This window comes from Homo sapiens, chromosome 5 (assembly GCF_000001405.40).
Source record: "Homo sapiens chromosome 5, GRCh38.p14 Primary Assembly".
NCBI classification, from domain to species: domain Eukaryota; kingdom Metazoa; phylum Chordata; class Mammalia; order Primates; family Hominidae; genus Homo; species Homo sapiens.
In genome coordinates, this window is record NC_000005.10 from 80,940,165 (window position 1) to 80,965,343 (window position 25,179).

A 25,179-nucleotide genomic window follows, 5' to 3' on the forward strand; every position below is an offset into this window, starting at 1 on the left:
CCAGTTGAGTCTAGGAACTTCGCCATCTCAAAGCGTTTCCATGTTACTGCTAAATGGCCCCTGGGGTGCTTCCTTATGAGGGCTCATGAAAATGTCTGCACAAGGTCTCCGGCTTCAGCCTCTTCATTGAATTTCCAGACCCAGGGGCCTTCCTCTGTTGTCCCCTTGCAGCTGGAATTACCTGCATGCAATCCTCCTTCAGGGCCAGTGGGAATAGAGACTGGCAAGGAAAGCACCACTGACTTTACCAGGGAATGAGTTCTTTCTTTAATTTTCCTCAGAACCATAGAGAACTGAGAGTTCAGGTAGAACAGAGAATGCAGGTGTTAAACATGGAGACTAACTCAGCAGTTTCCTGCTATTGTAAAATGCTTCTGTCTCCCTTCAATCCAAGACTTTTTTCTCTAGTTCTTTTTTATCTTTTCTTTTCTTTTTTTGAGATGGAGTCTTGCTCTGTCACCCAGGCTGGAGTGCAGTGGCATGATCTCGGCTCACTGCAACCTCTGCCTCCCGGGTTCAAGCAATTCTCCTGCCTCTGCCTCTTGAGTAGCTGGGATTACAGGTGCCTGCCACCACATCTGGCTAATTTTTGTATTTTGTGTAGAGATGGGGTTTCACCATGTTGACCAGGCTGGTCTCAAACTCCTGACCTCGGGTGATCCACCCACCTCCGCCTCCCAAACTGCTGGAATTACAGGCGTGAGTTACCACGCCGTCTTCTCTCTAGTTCTTTTTTTTTTTTTTTTTTGAGACGGAGTCTCGCTCTGGGCCCAGGCTGGAGTGCAATGGTGCGATCTCGGCTCACTGCAACCTCTGCCTCCCAGGTTCAAGTGATTCTCCTGCCTCAGTCTCCTGAGTAGCTGGGATTACAGGTGCATGCCACCACGCCCAGCTAATTTTGTATTTTTTTTTTTTTTTTATGGAGTCTCATCCTGTCGCCCAGGCTGGAGTGCAATGGCATGATCTTGGCTCACTGCAACCTCCACTTCCCGGGTTCAAGTGATTCTCCTGCCCCAGCCTCCCGAGGATCTGTGGTTACAGGCACCTGCCACCATGCCCGGCTAATTTTTTTGTATCTTTTAGTAGAGACGGGGTTTCACCATGTTGGTCCGGCTGGTCTCGAACTCCTGACCTCATGATCTGCCCGCCTCAGCCTCCCAAAGTGCTGGGATTACAGGCATGGGCCTCCACGCCTGACCTCTAGTTCTTACTTCTTGCTTTGGAATCAACTTCCTTCAGGATGACTTTATGAAAGGAAGATTCACTTTCATTAGGAGAAAACACACGCCCTAGCCCTGGAGCTTGTTTTAAGGCTCCAATGGGATTTAATAGTCCAACATGAGCCCTCTGTGCTTTTCAGTGTTTAGAAGACATCTCTGGTAGGTAAGACATCAATAGTACAGTTCATGGTGAATGCCTGCCAAGCTTAGTGCAGCTCCTTTCCAGTCTCCCCTACATGTGGGTTAAGGTAAATGTTGTTTACTCTGTAGATATCCTAGCAACACTAACTCTTCACCTTCTATGAGTAATTGTCAAATACCTTCTCAAGAACAAAGACAGGCTGGGCATAGTGGTTCATGCCTGTAATCCTAACACTTTGGGAGGCTGAGGTGGGAGGATTGCTTGAGGCAGGAGTTTAAGACCAGCCTGGGCAGCATAGCGAGATTCTATCTCTCCAAAAAAAAAAAAAAAAAAAAAATAGCCAGGTGTGGTGGCACACCTGTAGTCCAAGCTACAGATGTGAGATAGAGGCTGAGACGAAAGGATTCCTTGAGCCCAGGAGAGTGAGACTGTAATGAGCCATGATTGCACCACTGCATTCCAGTTTAGGTGATAGAGTGAAACCCTGTCTCTAAAAGCAAAACAAAACAAAACAGAAAAACAAGGACAGAACTTCCACTTCTTGCCTCAACCAAATAGAAACCAGGACAAAATATTCAAAGCAAGAGTTTCCAAACATGGGACCATAGGCAATAAAGGACCATGATCCTTGAGTGAAGGAAGCAGATGAGATGAGCCCTCCAAGTGCCCCGGTTCAAGGCTGGGCAGCCCTCCAAGTGCCCCAGGCTGCAGCCCTGGGCAGGAGAATCAAAGAGGTGCTGATGGCCTCTCTGGGTTGAAGAGACAAAGTGTAGAGTTTGGGGAGGCCAGTGGCTAGAACACACAGGACAGATTGCTGGAAAGGAGTCGGCTGAATAAAGTGAATGCTCTGACTCTGCAAGAGGTTCTCCCACAGTCTAGCTGAGTCTAAATCAGCTAATGCAAGTGAGAAAATTGCTATGGCCAGAAAAAGAACCTCCAGAAAGAAGCAGAGGGAACGATCTTCAGAGCTTACACCAGCTCTTAGTAGTCAGAATGGAAAGGTCTCCTAGCACATGGACTACAAAGTAGAGCCTTGAGATGGATGGGCCAAACCAAACTAGACTGTTCTGGACTCACCTGGGAAAGCTGAAAAACAAGCCTCAAATGGACAAAACCATTTCCAACTTGTTTAGCTGAGTCTCAGAACAAAGTTGAAAATATTTAAAGGACTGTATTATGGCAAACAAACAAACAACAACAGAACCCAAAAGGTAAAGTTCACAATGTCTGTCTCCTAACCAAAAATGGCAAAGAAGCAGAAAATGTGGCTTATGGCCGGGAGGAAATGCAGCCAATAAGAGCAGACCCAGGAATGACAAAAATGACTAAATTAGTAGACAAAGACATTAATGGCCTTTATAAGTATCCCCTATATGCTATAGAAGGGAGAGGAAAGCATGAGCATGATGAAGAGGGAAATGGAAGACAAAAGACCCAAATCAAAATTTTGGTGATGAAAGAATAATGTTTCAGATGAAAAATACACTGAATGGGGATTAGCAGCAGATAAGACATCATAATGAAATAGAGTTTATCCCCAAGAATGCAAGGTTTAACACTGAAAAATCAATTATTACTTTACCACACTAAAATATTAAAAAAGGAAAACCATATGAACATCAAAAAACCTTCTGTCAAAATTAAACATCCAATCATGATCAACCCCCCCCCCCCCCGCAAAACCAGGAATAGTAGGGACTTTTTCTTTTTTTTTTTTTTTTTTCCTTTTTATCTTTGTCTTCTCTTTATTTCCTAGTTGTTTCTAGTCAGAGGAAGGATAGCTTTATACAGAAATAGGATTTTTTTTTTAAATTTTTTTTTTTTTTAAATTGATCATTCTTGGGTGTTTCTCGCAGAGGGGGATTTGGCAGGGTCATAGGACAATAGTGGAGGGAAGGTCAGCAGATAAACAAGTGAACAAAGGTCTCTGGTTTTCCTAGGCAGAGGACCCTGCGGCCTTCCGCAGTGTTTGTGTCCCTGGGTACTTGAGATTAGGGAGTGGTGATGACTCTTAAGGAGCATGCTGCCTTCAAGCATCTGTTTAACAAAGCACATCTTGCACCGCCCTTAATCCATTCAACCCTGAGTGGATACAGCACATGTTTCAGATAGCACAGTGTTGGGGGTAAGGTCACAGATCAACAGGATCCCAAGGCAGAAGAATTTTTCTTAGTACAGAACAAAATGAAAAGTCTCCCACGTCTACCTCTTTCTACACAGACACGGCAACCATCCGATTTCTCAATCTTTTCCCCACCTTTCCCCTCTTTCTATTCCACAAAACCGCCATTGTCATCCCGTCCCGTTCTCAATGAGCTGTTGGGCACAACTCCCAGACGGGGTGGTGGCCGGGCAGAGGGGCTTCTCACTTCCCAGTAGGGGCGGCCGGGCAGAGGCGCTAGTGGGGACTTTTTCAATGTGACTAAGGGCATCTATGAAAAACATCCAGCTAACATCATAATCATGAAAAGACTGAATTCTTTTCTACTAAGATTAGAAACGAGCAGGATATGCACACTCACTACTTCCACTTAACTTTTTTTTTCTGGAGGTCCTAGCAAAAGGGAAGAAATACAAATAAAAGGTATACTGATATAAAAGGAAGAAATAAAACTATCTTTAATGGCAAACAACATGATTGCCTGTGAGAAAATCTTAATCTACAAAAAAGTTATAAGAATTTATAAAAGTGAATTTAGCAAGGTTATATAATACAAGATCAATATATCAAAATCAATGTCATTTCTAAATACTGTCAATGAACAACCATGAAATGACTTAAAACATACCATTTACTGTTGCATCAAAAAATATGAATTATGTAGAGATAAGTCTAGTGAAAGTCATGCAAGATATGTACAGTGAAAACTACAAAATACAGCTGAGAGAACTTAAAAGAAAACCTAAACAAATGAAGAGATAAGCCATGCTTATGGATCAGAGGATTCAATATCATTAAAATGTCAGTTCTTCTAAAATTGACCGATGGTTCAACCCAGTCCTAATTTAAAGCCCAGCAAAATTTTTAATTCTTATTTTATTTATTCATTTATAATTTATTTATTTATTTAGAGACTAGGTCTATGCTAGCCAGGCCAGTCTTGAACTGCTAGCCTCAAGCGTTCCTTCCACCTCAGACTCTTGAGTAGCTGGGACTACAGGTGCTCACCACTGTGTCTAGCTAAGATTTTTTTTTGTTGTTGTTAGAAATTTACAAACTGAAACTAAAATGTATATGAAAATACAAAAGACTTAGTATAGCCAAAATAATTTTGAAAATGAACTAAGTTGAAAGTCTTAAGCTACTTGATTTTAAGGCTTTTCAGAAAGTTAATATGATCAAAACAGTGTGATGTTGGTGTAAAGATGTATTATCAATGTGGATTGGTACATATGTAAAGCTATACATCAGCTGGGCGTGGTGGGAGGCCGAGGTGGGTGGATCATTAGAGGCCAGGAGTTTGAGGCCAGCCTAGCCAACATGCTGAAACCTCGTCTCTACTAAAAATACAAAAATTAGCTGGGCATTTTTTTGGCACATGCCTGTAGTCCCAGTTACTCAGGTGGCTGAGGCATGAGAATCGCTTGACCCTGGAGGCAGAGGTTGCAGTGAGCTGAGATCAAGCCACTGCACTTCAGCCTGGGTGATAGAGCGAGATTCTGTCTCAAAAAAAAAAAAAAAAAAAAAAAAAAAAATATATATATATATATATATATATATACACACACACACACACACACATATATATATATAAATATATATACACATATATACATATATATATATAAAAAAATCAAAGGAATAGAATAGAGTCCAAAAATACACCCATACATGTACAGCCAATTGATTTTTTGACAAAGATGCCAAGGCAATTAGGGAAAAAATGTTATTTTCAAAAAATGGTGCTGAAATGGTTGGATAGCCTTATGCAAAAACGTGAACTTCAGCTCATACCTTACGCCACTGAATCATAGGACTGAAATGTAAGAGCTAACATCAGAAAACTTCTAAAAAAAATAAGGAAAATCTTAGCATCCTTGGGATAACCCAAAGGATAACCCAAATGTCCATCAGCAGGTGAATGGATACACAAATGTGGTGTGTCCACCCAATAGAATACAATACAATAGAATATGATTCAGCAATGAAAATGAACAAACTAATGCTACACTCATCAAAATGGATGAATCTCAAAATCATTATGCTGAATGAAATAAGCCAGTCAAAAAGAGTGCATGGTGTATGAGTCCATTTATATAAAATTTTAGAAAATGCTAACTAACTCACAGTGACAAAGTAGACCAATTGTTTGCATGGGGTGATGGGGGGGAAAAGGTGGGAAGGAGAGATTTCTTTATTTTATTTTAAGTTCTGGGGTACATGTGCAGGATGTGCAGGTTTGTTACATAGATAAACGTGTGCCATGGTGGTTTGCTGCACCTATCAACCCATCACCTAGGTATTAAGCCCTGCATGCATTAGCTATTTATCCTGATGCTCTCCCTCCCTCTGCCTCCCCGACAGGCCCCAATGTGTGTTGTTCTCCTCCCTGTATCCGTGTGTTCTCATTGTTCAGTTCACACTTATAATGAGAACATGTGGTGTTTGATTTTCTGTTCCTGTGTTAGTTTGCTGAGGATAATGGCTTCTAGCTCCACCTATATCCCTGCTAAGGCCATGATCTCACTCCTTTTTATGGTTGCATAGTATTCTATGGTGTACATGTACCACATTTTCTTTATCCAGTCTATCATTGATGGGCATTTGGGTTGATTCCATGTCTTTGCTATTGTGAATAGTGCTGCAATGAACATACGCGTGCATGTACCTTTATAACAGAATGACTGATATTTTGGGGGGTGTATACCCAGTAATGGGACTGCTGGGTCAAATGGTATTTCTGGTTCTAGATCTTTGAGGAATTGCCACACTGTCTTCCACAGTGGTTGAACTAATTTACATTCCCACAAACAGTGTAAAAGTGTTCCTATTTCTCCACAGCCTTGGCAGCATCTATTTCTTGACTTTTTAATAATTGCCATTCTGACTCGTATGAGATGGTATCTCATTGTGGTTTTGATTTGCATTTCTCTAATGATCAGTGATGTTGAGCCTTTTTTCCATGTTTGTTGGCCACATACATGTCTTCTTTTGAGATGTGTCTGTTCATATCCTTTACTCACGTTTTAATGGGGTTGTGTGTTTTTTCTTGTAAATTTCTTTAAGTTTCTTGTAGATTCTGGGTATTAGACCTTTGACAGACGGATAGATGGCAAAAATTTCCTCCCATTCTGTAGGGTTGTCTGTTCACTCTGATGATAGTTTCTTTCAGAAGCTCTATAGTTTAATTAGATCCCATTTGTCAATTTTTGCTTTTGTTGCAATTGCTTTTGATGTAGTCATGAAATCTTTGCCCATGCCTATGTCCTGAATGGCATTGCCTAGATTTTCTTCTAGGATTTTTATGGTTTGGAGTTTTACGTTTAAGTGTTTAATCCATCTTGAGTTAATTTTTGTATAAGGTGTAAGAAAGGGGTCCAGTTTCAATTTTCTGCCTATGGCTAGCCAGGTTTACCAGCACCATTTATTAAATAGGAAATCCTTTCCCCATTGCTTGTTTTTATCAGGTTTGTTGAAGATCAGATCGTTGTAGATGTGTGGTCTTATTTCTGAGATCTCTATTCTGTTCCATTGGTCTATGTGTCTGTTTTTGTACCAGTACCATGTTGTTTTGGTTACTGTAGCCTTGTAGTATAGTTTGAAGTTGGGTAGTGTGATGCCTCCAGCTTTGCTCTTTTTGCTTAGGATTGTCTTGGCTATATGGGCTCTTTTTTGATTCTATATGAATTTTAAAGTAGTTTTTTTCTAATTCTGTGAAGAACATGTATGGTAGTTTGATGGGAATAGCATTGAATCTATAATGCCCGAAGCATTGAATCTTGGGGCAGCATGACCATTTTCATGATATTGATTCTTCCTATCCATGAGTATGGAATGTTTTTCCATTTGTGTCCTCTCTTATTTCCTTGAGCAGTGGTTTGTAGTTGTGGAAGAAGAGATTTCAAAGGAGAATGAGGAGACTTTTTCAGTTGATGGAAATGTGTCTTATTTTGATTGTGGTGATGGTTTCATGGATATATGAATATGTTGAACTTATTAAATAGTACTCTTTAAATATATGAAGTTTATTGTAAGTCAGTTATACCACAATTTTGAAAATACAACAAACAGTTGTAGTACAGTGCACTCTAAATCCATAATGTATCAGTCAGGGCAATTTATACTAGTTGCTATAACAAGAAGCCCAATATCTCATTGATTTAATAAAACAATAGTTACTTTGTTTCTTATGTCATAATGCCATGTGGGTTAGGCTGCCCCTGGCAGCTTGAAGCAGGGAGCGATGATACTGGGACCCTGGTTCTTCCATCTTGTGACCCTGCTGCCTTCAACATGTGGCCTCCTGTCTTTTCAAGAAAAAGAAGAGACGGCAGAGATGATTATGACCGGATCTTTAATAAGGAGTTGCCCACCATGTCTGCCTACATCCCTTAGGCCAAATGGCAGGGAGGTTGGCAAATATAGTCCTCTCCATGCCAAGAAACAAGAGTAGTATTTTCATTTATATATTTCACCAGTCCCTGCCAGGAGAAAAATAAATTGCTCTCCATCAAGGAGCTATGCACATAATAACGTGTATTACAAAACAGAAACATGTTTCTGAGCCAAAATACCTACATTTGGATTCCTTCACAGTTTTTTCCTACAGGGCATTTGCTTTATATCTCTTATATCTCTTACCTAAAGAGCCTATTTAAGGACTTCTTCTCATGAAGGAATAGTTTCTGCACCAAAGGGGATTCCAAGTCTCCAACTCCTAGGAGAGAGAAAATTGGTTATAGTTTTCAAATCATTGCCACTGCCTCCCCAACTCCTTTCCACCTCTCTGCCTAAGGTTCCAAATCTTTCAGAGTCCAGTCTGAGCAAGGTCTGCAGCTATGTGCCCTATGCCATCTGCAGTTTCACCTGCTTGAGGGGAAACTGAGTTCAGCATAATGACACAGAGCCACCAAGAAAATTATAGCAGGATAAAGGGACTTCTTACCAGCCAGATAGCCTCAATTTGTGACCATTTGGACAGGCAGTGACAGTGACAAGATGTGAATTCAAGGGCTTTCACTCCCAGTTGTGTGACCTTGGGCAAGATAAATCCTTCTGAAAGCCTCAGTTTCTTCATTGATCACAAATATGGGGGCAATTATAATACTATCAAAGTCAATTAAACAAAGAGTTACTGAGCACTGTGATGAAACAGTGAAAAATATATCGAAAAGCTATAATCCTTGTGGAACTTGCAGTCTAGAGTTAGATGCAGAGAAGCAAAGACAGTTAATATTATGCATTAAAGTCTATGATAGGAACAATATCCATCTTACCTCATAAAGTTACTGTGAGGATCAAATGAGGTCTAATAAATGTATTTAAGCTCTACATAAACTGTGAAATGCCCTACAAATGCTCATTACTGCCATAAAGCAAACAGGCCCTGATGTCATCTGAGTGCCACTACATCCCTGCCACTACTCCAAATGCGTGAAATGCAGAGAATTCAGAGAATTACCCAAGTGTATAACATATTTGTACAAATATGGAATTAAATGAGATAGTAACACATGTGGAAGCATTCTATAAAATCACATGCTACACACATGTAATTTATTCAAATGGTTATTTCTGATGTTTATTACCAGGGACATAGCCTTTGTGGTTCAAAATGCCCTTTCTATGATGGGATAGAGAAGGCTGCTGTTTTTCAGCCTTAAGTACATGATCCATGATGATGATTATCAGCCTGTTGACTGCAACACAAAAATACATCTCCCTGAGCTCATCTTGGAAGGGCATGGGGGTACACTGGTAGGATTTTAATGCCCCAAAGAGCACATTTCCACACACACAAGAGAGAAAAGATACTTTGTTGCAATATTTATTCCCACCTCCCCTGCCCACTTTCCCCATTACAAACCCCATAAGGTCTTCTACAATATCGTCTATCTTCATGCTGACATAACATATCACATCTTCATGGTTACCCAGGGGGCTTTCCCTGTAGCAAATTCTCTTGAGGCAGCGGGTCTCTCCCAGACCAAACCCAGCAGAGCTTCTAACCAGGTGGATGTGGTCCTGGGGCACCTGTTGACCTTTCCTGTGTCAGAATGTCACTGACACTCACCTATGGGGGCCAACAGCTGGCTCTGCTCAGAGAGAGATGATCTAAGTGTCGGGCTTCCAAGTCTAGAGCATGGCTTGATTTTTCTAATATTTTGATTTGCAACTTGGATTTTTAGCATCAGTTTCCTCAGGCAACTCCTGAGGTCGAGACTAGGCTCATGGTTCTCACACTTTCGTGGATTGGACTACCTGTTCCATGTAAACACAGACACGTAATTAGATAATCCATTCTCTGAGGAACTGAATACACAGTTTTCTAAACCGAGTGGTATTATTTATGGTGAACTTCAAAATACCCAGGGAACAAATATTGTTGGTTTCTTCAGGTAGCCAAAAATAGGAAAAATAAGAATGAACAGATTTAGGTCCAATTCTAGAAATCTGTTTCTCCCTGTGACTCCAAGGGTTTTAATGGGAGGTCATTGTTTCAACTCCCGAAGCTTAAGGCCTCACTCCAAGAGCTGGGTCTCCTTTAATGTTCTCTCCTCAATGTAGCATTGTTCACTCCTGCTCAGGCCAGACCTCCATGCTCACGTCCTTTTTCTGTTTAAAGTCCCACCCTGGGCCAGATGTGGTGGCTCACTCCTGTAATCCCAACACTTTGGGAGGCCGAGGTGGGCAGATTGCTTGAGCCCAGGAGCTTGAGACCAGCCTGGACAACATGGCAAAACCCTGTGTTTACAAAAAGTACAAAAATTAGCCAGGCATGGTGGTGCTTGCCTGTAGTCCCAGCTACTCAGGAGGCTGAGGTGGGAGGATCACTTGAGCCTGGGGAAGGTCGAGGCTGCAGTGAGCCAAGACTGTGCCACTGTACTCCAGCGTGGGCAACAGAGTGAGACCTTGTCTCACAAATTAAATAAATAAATAAATAAGGCTCCATCCTGTCCCATTTAATGATGTCATTAGTATGTGATAGACCATGTTCTATGCACTCTGGACATATTAACTATTAAATTTTCATGAACTCCTAGGAAGAAAGTCCTATTATTACCTCCACTTCTAACATCAAAACTGAGGCATAAATAAGTAATTTGTCCAATATAATAAATGACAAGAGTTAGGGCTGGAGCACGTGGCACATGCTCTCAGCTTTAACTCACACTTCCAGGCAACACAGGAGAAACACTCTATAATAAAGAGGATGGGTCTCCGGTCAGACAGGCCCGGGTTCAAATCCTGCCTCTGAGACTCACAAGCTCTACCATTTGGGAATGTTACTTACCTTCTCTGAACCTGTTTTTCTTCTATAAAATGGGCATGATAATAATACCTGCTTTGTGAGGTGGATGTGACAATCAAATGTACATAAATCACCAAGTAAAGGATTTGTCCCCATTTCCAGGCAGGTGACTTTTAAAAGATATTACATATGTATTTTATTTTAGAAATTCCAAGATGCCACTGTACCTCTCTCCATCTAGATGGCCCACAGTTGCCTTCAAGTCAAACCCAAATACCAACTGTTGTCAGTTCTCTTGCTCAGGCCAGATACCTAGAGCCATCTTGGCTTCACCTCCATCCTCCATCTTCCGACCTCTATATCTAATCAGTAGACAAGACTCGTTGATTCCTCCAATTTGGCTGGAAACATCCAAATGTTTCCTCCATCAGCATTGTTAAAACTTACCACGTGTCAGGTACTGTGGAAGTATTTAAAAATACCTCCAGGGGTAGATATTACTATTACCTGTATCTCCAGTTCAGTGATGAGAAAGCTGAGCCTGTAAGAGATTAAGTGGTTTGTTCAGTGTTTCATAATGGATATGTAATAGAGCAGGGATTGGAATTCACACTGTCTGATTCCAGAGCCCATGATCTCGTACAATCTCGGCAGTTCCTATGGTTACACTGGACAACATGCAGCTTTGAGACGAACTGAGACTAGATCTTGCAGGTCTTTAGTTCAAATGTCCCAGGAAACAGCTCATTTTGATCGAGCCAAATCAGGCACCCACTCCCAGGCCAATCACTGTGACCAGGAAGGTGGGGCCTGTAAAAAGGTGGCAGCTCCATTTTGAACCAGACAGTCTGAAGGGCAGGACTGTGGCCAGAAGGGGAAAAAGGAAGGGGTGCAAGACGATACAAGGCCACTATGCTTCCCTACTCAAAAACCTGTCGTGCCCTTTTGACTACTTGTATATAGGACCTTGCAGGCCACCGTGATCTGACCTCTACCTCCATTTATGCCTTCGTCTCTCATCATACCCCATCATACTTTCTTCTCTCAAACCACGATAAACTCCCACATTTCCTCTACCCTGTACTTTTCTGTTATTGGTCTTTCATTCTCATAGCTTCCTTAGTTAAAAATCCTTCATTCCCCAAATAGGAACGCTTTTACACTGTTGGTGGGAGTGTAAATTAGTTCAACCATTGTGGAAGACAGTGTGGCGATTCCTCAAGGATCTAGAACTAGAATTACCATTTGACCCAGCTATCCCATTACTGGGTATATACCCAAAGGATTATAAATCATGCTACTACAAAGACACATGCACACGTATGTTCACTGCAGCACTGTTCACAATAGCAAAGACTTGGAACCAATGCAAATGTCCATCAATGACAGACTGGATTAAGAAAATATGGCACATATACACCATAGAATACTATGCAGCCATAAAAAAGGATGAGTTCATGTCCTTTGCAGGGACGTGGATGAAGCTGGAAACCATCATTCTCAGCAAACTATCACAAGGACAGAAAACCAAACGCTGCATGTTCTCACTCATAGGTGGGAATTGAACAATGAGATCACTTGGACACAAGGCAGGGAACATCACACATTGGGGGCCGTTAGGGGGTGGGGGCCTGGGGGAGGGATAGCATTAGGAGAAATACCTAATGTAAATGATGAGTTGATGGGTGCAGCAAACCAACATGGCACATGTATACATATGTAACAAACCTGCACATTGTGCGCGTGTATCCTAGAACTTAAAGTATTAAAAAAAAAAATCCTTCATTCTCCAGCTCTGCGTATTTGCCACTTAACCAACCACCCTTCAGGACTCAGACCAAATGCTCCCTTGATTGGGAAGTGGGTCTTCCCAGCAGAAAGTAATGTCCCACTCTGTGCTGCACTGGACCCCATAGTCCTTCAGAGATGCCCGAGTCGGAGTTCCCCTGAGGGGGTTGTGCGTTTTATATCCATATGGCCAGTCATCAGCTCTGGGCTTCCTCAGAAAGGGGAGACACGATCTTGGCGAGGTGGCTGTCTTCTGCGGAGAACAATCACAGAGAGGGCTGACTGCCAGTAGAACTTCTAGTAGTAGAGCGTGGAATAATGAGGTGAGGAGGGTGAATAAGTGTCTCATTCTGAAGGAGGAGACCGTAGCAGCACTTCACAGTCTCCATCACACTCTAGAATCACAAGGAGCTCTGAGGGAAGCTCTAAATTCCTCCAGAGGCTGAACTTGGGGAGGGGGCGGATTGTAAAATTCCATGAGAAAAAGGGATAAAAGAAAGTCAAGGAGCAGGTTAGAAAGTATAAGGGCTGGTCCGGGAAAGTATTTAAGGTTCAAATGTTTGATGTGGAAAAGAAGTTTCTTGAATTGGCCAGGCACAGTGGCTCACGCCTATAATCCCAGCACTTTGAGAGGCAGAGGCAGGCGGATCACGAGGTCAGGAGTTTGATACCAGCCTGACCAATGTGGTGAAGCCCTGTCTGTACTAAAAATACAAAAATTATGGCACACACCTGTAATCCCAGCTACTCAGGAGGCTGAGGCAGGAGAATCACTTGAACCCAGGAGGTAGAGGTTGTGGTGAGCCAAGGTCGTGCCAGTGCACTCCAGCCTGGGCGACAGGACAAGACTCTCTCAAAAAAAAAAAAAAAAAAAAGGAAGTTTCTTGAATTGACAGGGTGTCATTGTTTTCTAGCATTTATTCAACAGATGATGTTCATGGAGTCTTACTATGAGTAATATTCAGGAATGTTCTAGGTGCTGAGGATATAACAGTGAGGGAGACAGAAGCTATCAAGCAATTAAGCGTACATACTAGAATGTCAGGGAGCAACAGGTGCTACAGAGGAAAAGGAGGATAGGGTCACGCAGAAAAAGGGATAGGGTTTTACTCCAGTACAATGGGAAGATGTCGGAAGGTGTTGAGCAGAGAAGAGGCACGATAGTGATTTATGTTTTCAAGGTACTCATTGGCTGCTCAATGGGGAACAGGCAGTAGGAGAGTAAGAGTGAATGCAGGGAGACGGCTGGGAGATTACTCCAGTAGTCCAGGTGAGAAGTGGCGATGGGCTGGATGGGGGTAGCAATGGGGCTTGTCAGAAATTGTTTAATTTACTATATGCTTTGAAGGTAGAGCTGACTGGGGTGAGAGAAGATTAAAAGATTCATAGATGACTTCAAATTTTTGACTTAAGGAAGGATGGGGTTGCCATATACTGAGATGAGGAAGACTATGGGATGAACGGTTGTTTTTTTGCAGGGAAATTCAGTCTTGAACACGTTGAGTTTGAGATGCCTACTAGATAGTCAAGAGGAGATGTTGAGTAGGCAGCACACAGGTCTGCATTTCAGAAAAGGAGAGGGGTGGAGAGACTTATTTAAAGCCACGGAGTGGATAAAATGATGTAGATAAAGAAGAGAAGACGTCCCAGGAGAGGGCCCCGGGGTGAAATACTATTCAGAGGCTGCGAAGAGGAGGGGGACAGCCATGAGAAAATGAAGACACAGCAGGAGAATCAGGAAGGGGCTGGAGAGTGTGGTGTCCCAGAAGCTAAGTGAGAAGACTGTTTCAAGAAAGAGGGAGTGTTCAGCTGTATCAAACGCTGCTGCGATGTCAATGTGCAGACTGGAAACTGACCACCGAGCTTGGCATTGTGGGGACTGCAGGTGACCGTGACTGTGGGGATTGTTTCAGTGGGGTGGTGGGGATGAAAAGACTGAATGAAGTAGCTCAGGAGAAAATGGGGAGAAGGAAGTAGACCCAGTGTGTAGAGAGATGTTATAAAGGGCAAGTTTTGCTATAAAGGGAAGCAGGGGAATAGAAAGGGGTTTTTGCTACCACTAAATCATGAGTATTTTCTTGGGTCTCTAAAATTCTTTGTATATCATAACCTATACTTTTTGTGGTGACACTACAGTATAAAAGTAATGCATGCATAATTTATACTACTGTATATAATGTGAATAATTACATTCGTGTAGTCAGACCTTACATGTTCAGAGCATTGCTGAGAAGCCAAAAGGAAATCATCTCTAGCGGTCAAAACAATTCCCGTGTATTCCTAGCTAGATTACACACTTCACTCTCTACAGGACTCTCCAAGATCTTCTCATTTTTATGTTTAATAAAGTTATATTTTGTTTCACAAAGTTCTTAAAAGCTTCACAGCCTAAGTCTTCAAGAAACCAGAAGATGACAATTAGAAGGTTAGGATGGAGAAAGGGTGAAGGATGCGGTTGGGTTTGTGGAACAGCTATAGAAACTCTAAAGGCACAGCTGTTCGTGGCCACCCATGGAGAGGCACACAGCACAAGCTGTTGTGTTCAGTTGCACAGGTTGGTCACTGCACAGGGCTCCCTGCACAGAGCTGTAGCCATCCAGGGGGAGGGGCACCTTTTAGTCACATGAAGGTGTCATGTCATCCACTCATCAGGATCATGTTCTCAAGGCTGTGTGCACCTCAAGGCTCTCTCTAATTCATCCTCCCAGAGGGTGTGCCTTTTTCTAATTTGCATAAAAGAGTAGAGGCTAGCAATAGCTGTGGTCTAGCTCCTAGACACATTGTATTTAGAATAGTGACCTTAAATCAAGAAGATGCTAACTTTTCTTCACTGTTTAGACTGTAGAGATGTAGAGCTCATTTATCTTCGGTGTTTGAAGGACAAGCTTTAGGTATCTCGAACATTAAGTTAGTTGAAATATCATAAGGACACCAGATAAATGGTTTTATTAGCTCTAAGTAGTTCATTCTAGTATTTCGTAAATAAGGAATTCTTTTTGGTCAAAATAATACTGGAAACAAGGAAGGAATAATCCTTTTGGGTTTTACCTACTTGGGGAAGAACCTGGCTTTACTAATTAAGTATCAAGAGATGATACAGAATCACATATGTGCCAGAACTGGTAGCACTCTATCCTGTAGAAACAGTCTGGGATTCTTGGTGAGTCTGCATTATTAAATATATTATTCTCCACATCTACAAGCCATCAAAATGACAATTCCCCAAGTGATCTTCTGTCAGGCTAAGAAAAGGATCTTGGCAATACTGTGGCTTTGTTACAGGAAAGCGGTCCCAATCCAGACCCCAAGAAAGGATTCTTGGATCTCTCACAAGAAAGAATTCAGGGCGAGTCCGAAGTGCAAAGTGAAAGCAAGTTTAAGAAAATAAAGGAATAAAAGAATGGCTACTCCATAGACGGAGCAGTCCCGAGGGCTGCTAGTTGCCCATTTTTATGGTTATTTTTTGATGACACGCTAAACAAGGGGTGGATTATTTATGCCTCCCCTTTTTAGACCACACTGGGTAACTTCCTGACATTGCCATGGCATTTGTAAACTGTCATGGTGCTGGTGGGAGCGTAGCAGTGAGGACGACCAAAGTCACTCTCGTTGCCATTTTGGTTTTGGTGGCTCCTTTACTGCAAGCTGTTTTACCAGCAAGGTCTTTGTGACCTGTATTTTGTGCTGACCTCCTATCTCATCCCGTGACTTAGAATGCCTTAACCGTCTGGGAATGCAGCCCAGTAGGTTTCAGCCTCATTTTACCCGGCTCCTATTTAAGATGGAGTTGCTTTGGTTCAAATGCCTCTGACAGCTTTGCTTGACATAATCTTCCTCCAAGAACCCAGTGCGGATGCATTTCTGAATTATAGAAACCACAGGGAAAAGTCCTTGCAGAAACTCATGCAGCCCATGTACATTTTACTAACAAAACAGAGTTTAGGAGAAAGAAAAAAAAAATTAAAACCTACCTTGTGCATCTGAATACTAAGGCATGAGTTAGGGATTTTGAAAAGCTGTAGGTTAGGTTGTGCACTCCCCACTCCCCTAAACTTCAAAGCTTTAGACAATTCAGATAAAATTTCCCCTCCCACCTTTCCTTCCTCCCTCCTTCCGTCCTTTCTTTCCTCTTTCCCTCCTTCCCTCCCTTCCTTCCTTTTCTCATCAAATTATCTGAATAATGTCTCCCTCTCTATTTAGTAGAGTTTCCAGGTATGACAGCTCATTGCTATTTTTCCCCTCTTAACTTATCTAGAAAAGGGGAAAGAGGCCACTTGCACTGTGATCATATGCTTTGTTGCCCATAAAAAATTTTTTTAAACTGGCCCGCTCAAGAAAGAATCCACGCAATGCAAGAAGGAAAAACAATGAATTCAGAGAAGCTTGTTCCCATCCACTTGGAACGCAGTCTCTTTTTGGCAATCTATTTGATCAGCTGGGGGAAAGCATTCTTATTTACATAAACTCCTGATCCTTTGTGTTTCAGGATGGCACCATTCCAGGGATGTGGTTTCCATATGAATGGAGACTAAAGGCCCCCAGGTGCCCATCAGACACCTAATAGAGATAGCTTCTCTAGGCTGTCCAGGAATGTCTGGTTGTTTTCATCTCTTACAATCTTGCAGAATGATCTAATATTTGCAAATGCTTATGCCCTCTTTAACAATTCAATGACCAAATAAGAAATTAATTTAGAAAATAATTGTCTGAAAAACTTGTATGCCTACTGCATATAAACTCTCCTACTGGGTGCTACAGGGATTACAGAGATAGCTCGGCACTTGAGAAACAGACAGGTGAGAAGAAGCACCTAAACATTAATCTTCTTCCTGGCTGGGTGGTGTCGTACTTACAATCCCAGGACTTTGGGAGGCCAAGGCAGGAGGGTTACTTGAGACCAGGAGTTTGAGACCAGCCTGGGTAACATGGTGAGACCTCTGTCTCTACAAAAAGTAAACAAAACCTAACCAGGTGTGGTAGTGCACACCCATAGTCTTAGCTACGCTGGAGGCTGAGGCAGGAGGATTGCTGGAGCCCAGGAGTTTGAGGCTGCAGTGAGCTATGACTTCAGCCTGGGCAACAGAGGAAGAACCTCTCTCTAAAGAAAAAAAGAAAGAAAGAGAGAGAGAAAGAGACAGAGAGAGAGAGAGAGAGAGAGAGAGAGAGAGAGAGGGAGGGAGGAAGGGAAAGAAAAGAAGAAAGAAAGAAATTCTCTTCCTCTTACACTGAGCACACCAGGAACACAGGCAATGCTTTTTCTCTATATGCTCTACATCACCTAAATATAGTGTTGAGGACATAAACTAGTGATCAATAAATGGTTCTTGCAGTGAATTTCCATAATCAAAACCCACGGTAATCACCAGCCAAATTTTGCAGGAAACAAGCACTCCTTTCTCTCATTGTCCAGGGGCAGAGCAGATGGGGTGGCATATAAGGGCCACATAACCTTCCGTGGTAGGAAGTGATGTCAGACAAGAGGTTGTGAATATTTCATGTGGTTCAAATGAAAAGCACATTTAAGGAGACAGAGATGGTAACTGAGACATTGCTTATTGAAGAAGAGAATCTTTCACATCTGAAAAAACTCAAGTGCGTTAGAAGGTTTGACTACTCATGGCAAAATAGTTTTTGTGCTGATTTCACACTCTTACTGGTTTCTACTAAAAAAATGGAGCTTATCAACCACACAGGTGTCTACTCACTTACGGTTCTCACAGCTGGGATTGGACCACAGAGAAAGAAATAAAAGGCCTCCTGAGGCAATCACCAGCTCCTCTGCATCTAGAATCTGGCTCCAAAATGTTGCCTGCATTTACTTACTGTCTCTGTACTTGTGTCTTCTCTGAAGAACAATGCAAACTTCCAGCTGGGTTAAACCCAATTTAGCACAGCACTGTCCTTTAGATATTTTTAAAAACGTAAAGAGAAATGACCACTGTTCTCACGCTGTAATTTCAAAATGGCAATTTCCCTACTATATACTTGTTAAAAGTGAAAATTTTTTAAAAAGGTAAAAGGAAAAAAAAACCCCACTCAGCTGCTCAGTGAGGCAGAGTTAAAATATTCTGCAGAAACAGCACTTATGAAACAGGCAGAACCCCTGGGGCTACCAATTCATGAACACACAACTGGCAGTACAAGACAGGTGTATTGTCGTAGACTCATCACCCAGAAAAGCATTATTATTTACTTTTAACAATAAACATTTTATGATGGCACTCCGTTTTAGTGATAAATGACTGGGGAAAATAAAAAATGTGTATAGCAGAATCAAATATAGGCCCTCCCCGGGGGTTTCACTGGCTTTCTCTCACAGCTGCTGGCTACATTATTTCTTTTCCACTTACATTTTTACAGCATGGGGTTGGGGCGGGGGGGTGGCTCTTGGTTTTCTGGTTGTACCTGTCAGATTTGTTAATCAAATGAATCCAGTCCTACAAACGATGAGCCTGTGACAGCTGGCCTTTGGGGTTGGATTCTGCCCTGGGCAGCAAAGTGTCCCTTATTTGGGTATTTTTTTCCAGGTTGAAAACTCGGCACTTAAAATTTAGCATCTTACCACTGTGAAATAACAGGCATTCCGAAAGAACTTCGGCATCTGATGCCTTTCCGGGAACACTTGGGCCACTCTCCTTAACCTTTACCGGCAGTTTTAAATACTACAATGCAGGTACAAGCAGAAAAGCCAAGGATGCGGGCTATGCAAAGCCACTCTGTGACTCTACCTACTGCCATGGGAACGTACTTATGGATGTGGCATGTGAGTGTGTGTGTATGTGTGAGTGGGTTTGTGAAAGTGTGTGGATTCGTGCGAATACGTGTGTGAGTGCTTTGTGTGTATTTTTGGATGAATTTGTGAATGTACATGTGTGTTCATCTGTGTGTGTGTTTGATTATCTGCTTATGAGTCTGTATGATTGTGAACGTGTGAGTATATGTGTGCTGTTTGTGTGACTGTATGAGTGTAATGTGTGTATGAATGTATGTTTGAATGTGGGTTTGAGTGAATGTGTGGGTTGTGTGTGAATGTGTGTGTAAGTGAGCATATCACTGCGTGCATGTGTGTAGCTCCTTAAGTGTGTATCTGAATGTGGGTTTTATTTTTGTGCGCGGGAACGCACATTGTGGGTGTATTTGTCTATATGCATTTGTGCGTTGTGACTGTGTGTTGAGTGTGAGCGTTGTGAGAATGTGTATTTGTGTGTCATGAGTGTGTGCGCGTGTGTTTTTGTGCATATGTGCGCGCATTGTGTTTGTGTGCATTTGTGAGTGTATTTTTGTGCGTCTGAGTGTGTGCATTGTGGATCTGGGTGAATGTACTGGTCTGCGTGTGTGTGGGTGTGCGTGTGTGTGTGCGCGCGTTGTGCGCGAGTGTGCGAGCGCGTGTGAGCGGGTGTGTGGTGCGGCCGGGCGCCTCCACCTCCCTGATCCGCCCCATCCCGGCGGGCGCCCGAGCAGAGGCAGCGGCCCGGGCCGGGGCGGGCGAGGGAGGGACGCGAGCCGGGGCAAGCGGGCTGCGCCACCGCCGGCGCCGCGCCGACTTTGCCCTTTAAATCGGTCTCCAAGCCGATTACAGCTGAGCTCCCACGTGACGTTTTACCTTCTGTCTCCCGGAGCGCGTTGCCCGAGGACAGTCCTTCCCCGGCTGCCGCCCCAGCCCGCCGCGGGGGCTCGGCTCCCGCAACTTTGGGCGAAGCGGCGGCCGGCTCGGGCGCCCTCGCGGGGCCGCGCTCCACGCGGGCGTTGGGGGCTTGGGGGGCTCCGGGGGCTCGGCCGGGAGGGTGGTGGTTAGGGCGGAGAGCGTGCCTCGGCCCCAGCCCGCGCCCCTGCCACCGCGCGCCGCGGCCTCCCGAAAGCGGGCGGGGTGCCCTGCGCGCGGCGTGGGGAAAGGGGGCGCCCTTCGCCGGCCGGGACCTGAGCGGTCGCGCCCTCGAGGGAGCCAGCTGGGCCATGGCCGCGAGGCAGGGGTGAGACCGGCGGCCACCCGTGAGCCCTCCGCACCCGCACCATGCAGAAGAGCGTGCGCTACAACGAGGGGCACGCCCTGTACCTGGCCTTTCTGGCGCGCAAGGAGGGCACCAAGCGCGGCTTCCTGAGTAAGAAGACGGCCGAGGCGAGCCGCTGGCACGAGAAGTGGTTCGCCCTCTACCAGAATGTGCTCTTCTACTTCGAGGGCGAGCAGAGCTGCCGCCCGGCGGGCATGTACCTCCTGGAGGGCTGCAGCTGCGAACGAACGCCCGCGCCACCCAGGGCCGGCGCCGGGCAGGGAGGCGTCCGAGACGCGCTGGACAAGCAGGTACCGCGCGCCTTCTCTCCGCGGTCTCCCAGCCTTGATCGCCGCACTCCCTTGCCGTCCTAATCCGGGGATCAGGGGTCGGGGGTCGTGAAAGAGTGCGGGGACTATGCTCCGAAATCCCCCCGCGTCACCAGTGGCGGGACATCTCCACGCTCCTTCCGATCTTCATCCAGGGATTCTCCCATCTCCATACCCCTCCACCCCACTGCCAAGTGATCAGTCAGAATAGTGGCCCGACTTGCTTTCATTACCCTGGTAGAGGTCGAGTCGTTTCAGCTTCTCTGCCAACCATCTATTGCTTCTCTAGACCTGGCTCGCCAGATTTTTGTCTGGTGACATGTATTGACACCTGTTGGGTGTAGATTGGCAAGACGGAACTAACTTATTTGGAAAAGTTTGATTTCTGCCATACCCGGCTGGCGCGTGTAGATTTCTTTGCCTGCAGATGTTTGACCACTGGTTGGGCTGGGAACAAGCGGGGCTCCCAAGCCGGACAGACACTTTCTGTTGGTCATTTTCAATCAGTCTTTGTGATTTCGGTCAGTTGGCCTTGCTAACATTTGACCTGCTGGGTGTAATTATGAAGGTAAATGTGTATTCATATTCCTCAGGATTAATATTTGGTAGCCACATTCTTGCTATGTTTAAAAATGTGGGCATTTTTAAAGAACGCTTCTGTACTTTTAAATGAATGCTTTGAAAATGAATGCGACCTTTTAATTCTGGGTCATAATTTTATTAGTTTTGCTGTGTGCTCATGGTCGCGGGGTGGGGGAGAAAAACCCTTTAAGTCTTAGTGATCCCAGCCCCTCATTCCTGCAAACACAAAGTTTGTATGTTTCCAATCACCGTTTGGTTATTAAAGTTAAAGCAGACTAATTTTATGCCCCTAATGTTCTCATTTAGCTTCTCAATCCCCACCTTGATATGAAAAAGGCTGATTGTTTTTGCTGTTGCGTAAAAATATTCGCAGCTGAATTTTCCATGTGAGTTCAGATCAGACAGCATCTACCGCACACCACAGAGGCTGTGGGAGGTGCTAGCAATGGAGTGATCCGTAAGATGCCTACCTAACCCTTTGGGGCTCATAAAACAATGTGTAAAATTAAGAGGAGTTAAAACTAGACCGACCGGAAGTTTGAGTTGTTTTCACTATAAATCATTAACAGACTTAAGTGATTAAACTTGTTATAACACTTATAAATCTGAAAGTTTAAATATGCTCTTTAGTTTCTGAGGGCTTGTTCAGAGTCATTTGAAAAACTGATTTCCAACTTTATAGATATAGATACTAGAAATATAAACATAAATTTCAAGTCATGCATTTTAGAATTTAAATTGGGAGAAGAGTTTTGAGGAAACATTTTTTTTCAGGAATATATATAAGTAACATTCTATTGGTGGGATTTTTTTTAAGGTATGTGTTCCAAGGCCCCGCAGGAACCAAAATGAATAGGTTTCTAAATGTTATTATGTCTAAAGTAGAATAGGGTATTTTAAATTACTCAGGATATATATCATTTACTTAATCTCAAATTATTTGTTTTCTTCATATTTATATTAATATAAGATAACCACTTTTGATTTTTTTTTTTTCAGTTAGGGGTGGGGAGTTGTTACCTGTTACAATTCATATGGCTCTCTGACTTGCTAATGTTATATGGAAACCAACATTTTTCTACTTGGAAAATATCTGGACTGTAATCTTCAAGACTGTTTTCTTTCTTGCACTTTAATAAGGAAACATAACTTCCAAATAGTTTGACTTTCATGCCACTTTCTAATGGTTGTCCTAAATAGGCCATCTAATGAAAAAATTGTTTTCCCTTTTTATGACCATGCAAATGATGAGTATTTCTCAGTCATTTTATTCATCTTCAAGAGGTTAGAAATTAGAATCTTTGGTGTTTGTAGATAAATCTGAGATGTAGAGAAGCAAGCATTCCAGAATGGATTAGGAGTTGGGCTGGGAAACCTTCCACATTTTGTCTTGCATTAGATGTGCTGCTGTGAGTTGGGTTAGCTTAGCCCACTGATGCTTTTCTCTGGCACTGCCAACTGGGTGTGTTTGAATAATTAAGAAGAAACTGTGAAAATAAGAAACAAGGAGAAACATTCTACCTTAAATCTACAGTTTATCCAGTTGGTTACCTCTCAGCTAATTTATGTTGCTGAGGTGCTTAGATCATCCAGACACTGAGACACGAAGGATCTGTGGAGGATGTGAGGAGATGAGCACATCCCAAGGTTTGCTTCTTTCTCCTTATATGCTTCTGGAGCTTTCCATATCAATATCTCCCTCAACACTATCAACACAGTTGAAGGTTAGGGCTTGAAACAGGACTTAGTGAGGCAGAGTCATTTTTCTTCACCAAGTTTCCGTGTTATTTCTTTAAGCACATCTCTTAATCTTTTCTCTTTTTTTCTGTTAATGAAATCTCTGTTTCCTAATATGTAAAAATTAAGAATTTGGCTAAGTTGGTTTCCAATTACCTTTCAATAATGGCATCTTCTATTTCTAAGGTTATGACAGACAGGGTGAGCTTTTTGCAGTGTGGAGAATGTGAAAGACCATTTCACAAGATTCAGAGATTACCAGTGTTTGTAATAAATACTGCATCTGAAAAGCCGAGGACAAGCAGGTGATTGAAGTGGACATTCTGATAAATTAGTTAGGTCAGCAGATGTGCAAACCTATAGTAACATCATTGCCTGAGGCAGAGACATTCTTATTACTCACATTGGAGGGCGACATATTTATTGTAATCCCCTTGACAGTTACAATAGTTGATGTAATTATTGCTATAAACTGCCTCTAAGCATTCTTGGGAGCTTAAAGTCCACATATCCTTCAATGATTTTTATGCTTATTAGTTGTGTTTTTAGGTAAGTTACAAGAAGAAAACACCCATTGGTTTGCTTCCTGTAAATAACAATTCAAAATAAGTTGGTTGACAACAACAAAAAAATCCGTTTTTTTTTTTTTTTTACACTTGGACTTAAATTGTTTCCAGTTAAGCAGAAAAAAGAAAGTCACTTTCCAAATATGCTTAGATTGTAGGAATATTTGCATTGCTCTATTTTTTTCATAGTGTTCTCAGATTTCACTTTGATGAGTCTTTGGAGGATTGCAAGGCTCTCTTATCAGCCTTCCATAGTGACTACTTCTTTGGGATAGCAATGGTGATATAATCAAAATGAGATCAGTTAAAAACAATTTTAAGTGGTTTATTTTCTCCAAAAGTGTTGTTCCTTTTCTTAAAAAGGTGTCCGATGGCACTTCTTTCTAGTTAAGCTCCATTTGTGGAAAATGAAAACCTCCCGTTTTGTTCCAGGTGAAGGAGAAAGGGAAGTTGTATTTAGCAAGTACCTTCTACATGGTAGGCTCTGTGCTCTTGGTGGCTGTTATCCTCTCTTACCTCATCTAATTTGAACTTCAGCTTTTGGAGATGATGAGTATTAACATCATCGTTATTATTACCTATTGCTAACACTGAAACTCAAAGACTTCTGGGGAGATGATCAAAGTCCAGTTGAAGATATAAAGACTAAATTATGTTGAAGAGTTCCTTACTAAGACTGTTTTTAAATCCACTGAGCAAATCTAGATGGATGGGGGCTTGGGGTATAGGATGTGAATCACTGTTTTGTTTATTCTTATTTCCTTTTCAAAACTATTTAAATGGCAGTTGTAATTCTTGAGAAATACGATTGCAGACCATTACATGTTCAAAGAAAAACGGGATTTATTTTTAAACAAGCAGTTTTACATGACATTACTTCAGGAATTCATTTACTTCAGGAATGGGGTACCTTTAAAAATATTTGCATTTAGGGTGAAAGTACACATCCCAGTTAGTCTGCTCTGTTTCAGTGGCAGTATCTGTCTTGCCTACTAGCAGGAGAAGACACATAGCAAAAAAGCCACCTTGATTCTTATTTTTCTGGTGGTGGTAAATGTTCTCTTCAGCCTGATTTCACTTGTTTTGGGGGGTAAAATATCTCTTTCGCTCTGGAGGTTTAAAGAAGTAGACATTTGCATTTGTGCTGAATTAAACATGTTGGTTTAATTTTAAAGGGATTAAAGGCTATGTGATTTCCTGTCACTTCATTACTAGTCATTTTAGCCTTCCTAAATTGACCACAAGCAGAGGATTTTAATCATCGAATGAATTAGGCAGAGCTGCGTGCGAACTCTGAAATATTTGTGGGAGATGGAGAGTGTGGATGGTGGATTTTCATACTACTTCACGTTGTCTAATTATAACCAACTCAACTTTTGTTTACTGAACACAAAGGGAAAATGGAATAATGATA

The 25,179-nt window shown here is 42.6% G+C and overlaps 1 protein-coding gene and 1 long non-coding RNA gene across 4 annotated transcripts in view, besides 2 other annotated features; one reads left to right on the top strand and one right to left on the bottom strand.

The window, feature by feature from the left end:
• Positions 1–7,528: 7,528 nt before the first annotated feature.
• On the bottom strand, positions 7,529–20,743 carry RASGRF2-AS1 (RASGRF2 antisense RNA 1). Its single transcript, NR_105015.1, has 4 exons — positions 20,617–20,743; positions 11,283–11,316; positions 8,165–8,240; positions 7,529–7,830 (listed from the first exon to the last, which is right to left on the bottom strand). It is a non-coding gene; the product is annotated as an RASGRF2 antisense RNA 1 (long non-coding RNA).
• Positions 16,691–17,211: an enhancer, noted in NCBI's record as "OCT4-NANOG-H3K27ac hESC enhancer chr5:80252674-80253194 (GRCh37/hg19 assembly coordinates)". NCBI's record gives its function as "activates a minimal SCP1, AML or CMV promoter by ChIP-STARR-seq in primed H9 embryonic stem cells {active_cell/tissue: H9 hESC(primed)}" and the evidence as "EXISTENCE:reporter gene assay evidence [ECO:0000049][PMID:30033119]".
• The window catches only part of RASGRF2 (Ras protein specific guanine nucleotide releasing factor 2), a 269,800-nt gene continuing 264,819 nt past the window's right edge, over positions 20,199–25,179 (top strand). For all 3 annotated transcript variants that reach the window (NM_006909.3, XM_005248565.2, XM_017009683.2), the window contains exon 1: positions 20,199–20,862. In NM_006909.3, the coding sequence (NP_008840.1) occupies positions 20,575–20,862 (288 nt within the window). In that variant the 5' untranslated portion in view covers positions 20,199–20,574. The remainder of the gene's footprint in view (positions 20,863–25,179) is intronic.
• Positions 20,302–21,023: an enhancer, noted in NCBI's record as "H3K27ac hESC enhancer chr5:80256285-80257006 (GRCh37/hg19 assembly coordinates)". NCBI's record gives its function as "activates a minimal SCP1, AML or CMV promoter by ChIP-STARR-seq in naive H9 embryonic stem cells {active_cell/tissue: H9 hESC(naive)}" and the evidence as "EXISTENCE:reporter gene assay evidence [ECO:0000049][PMID:30033119]".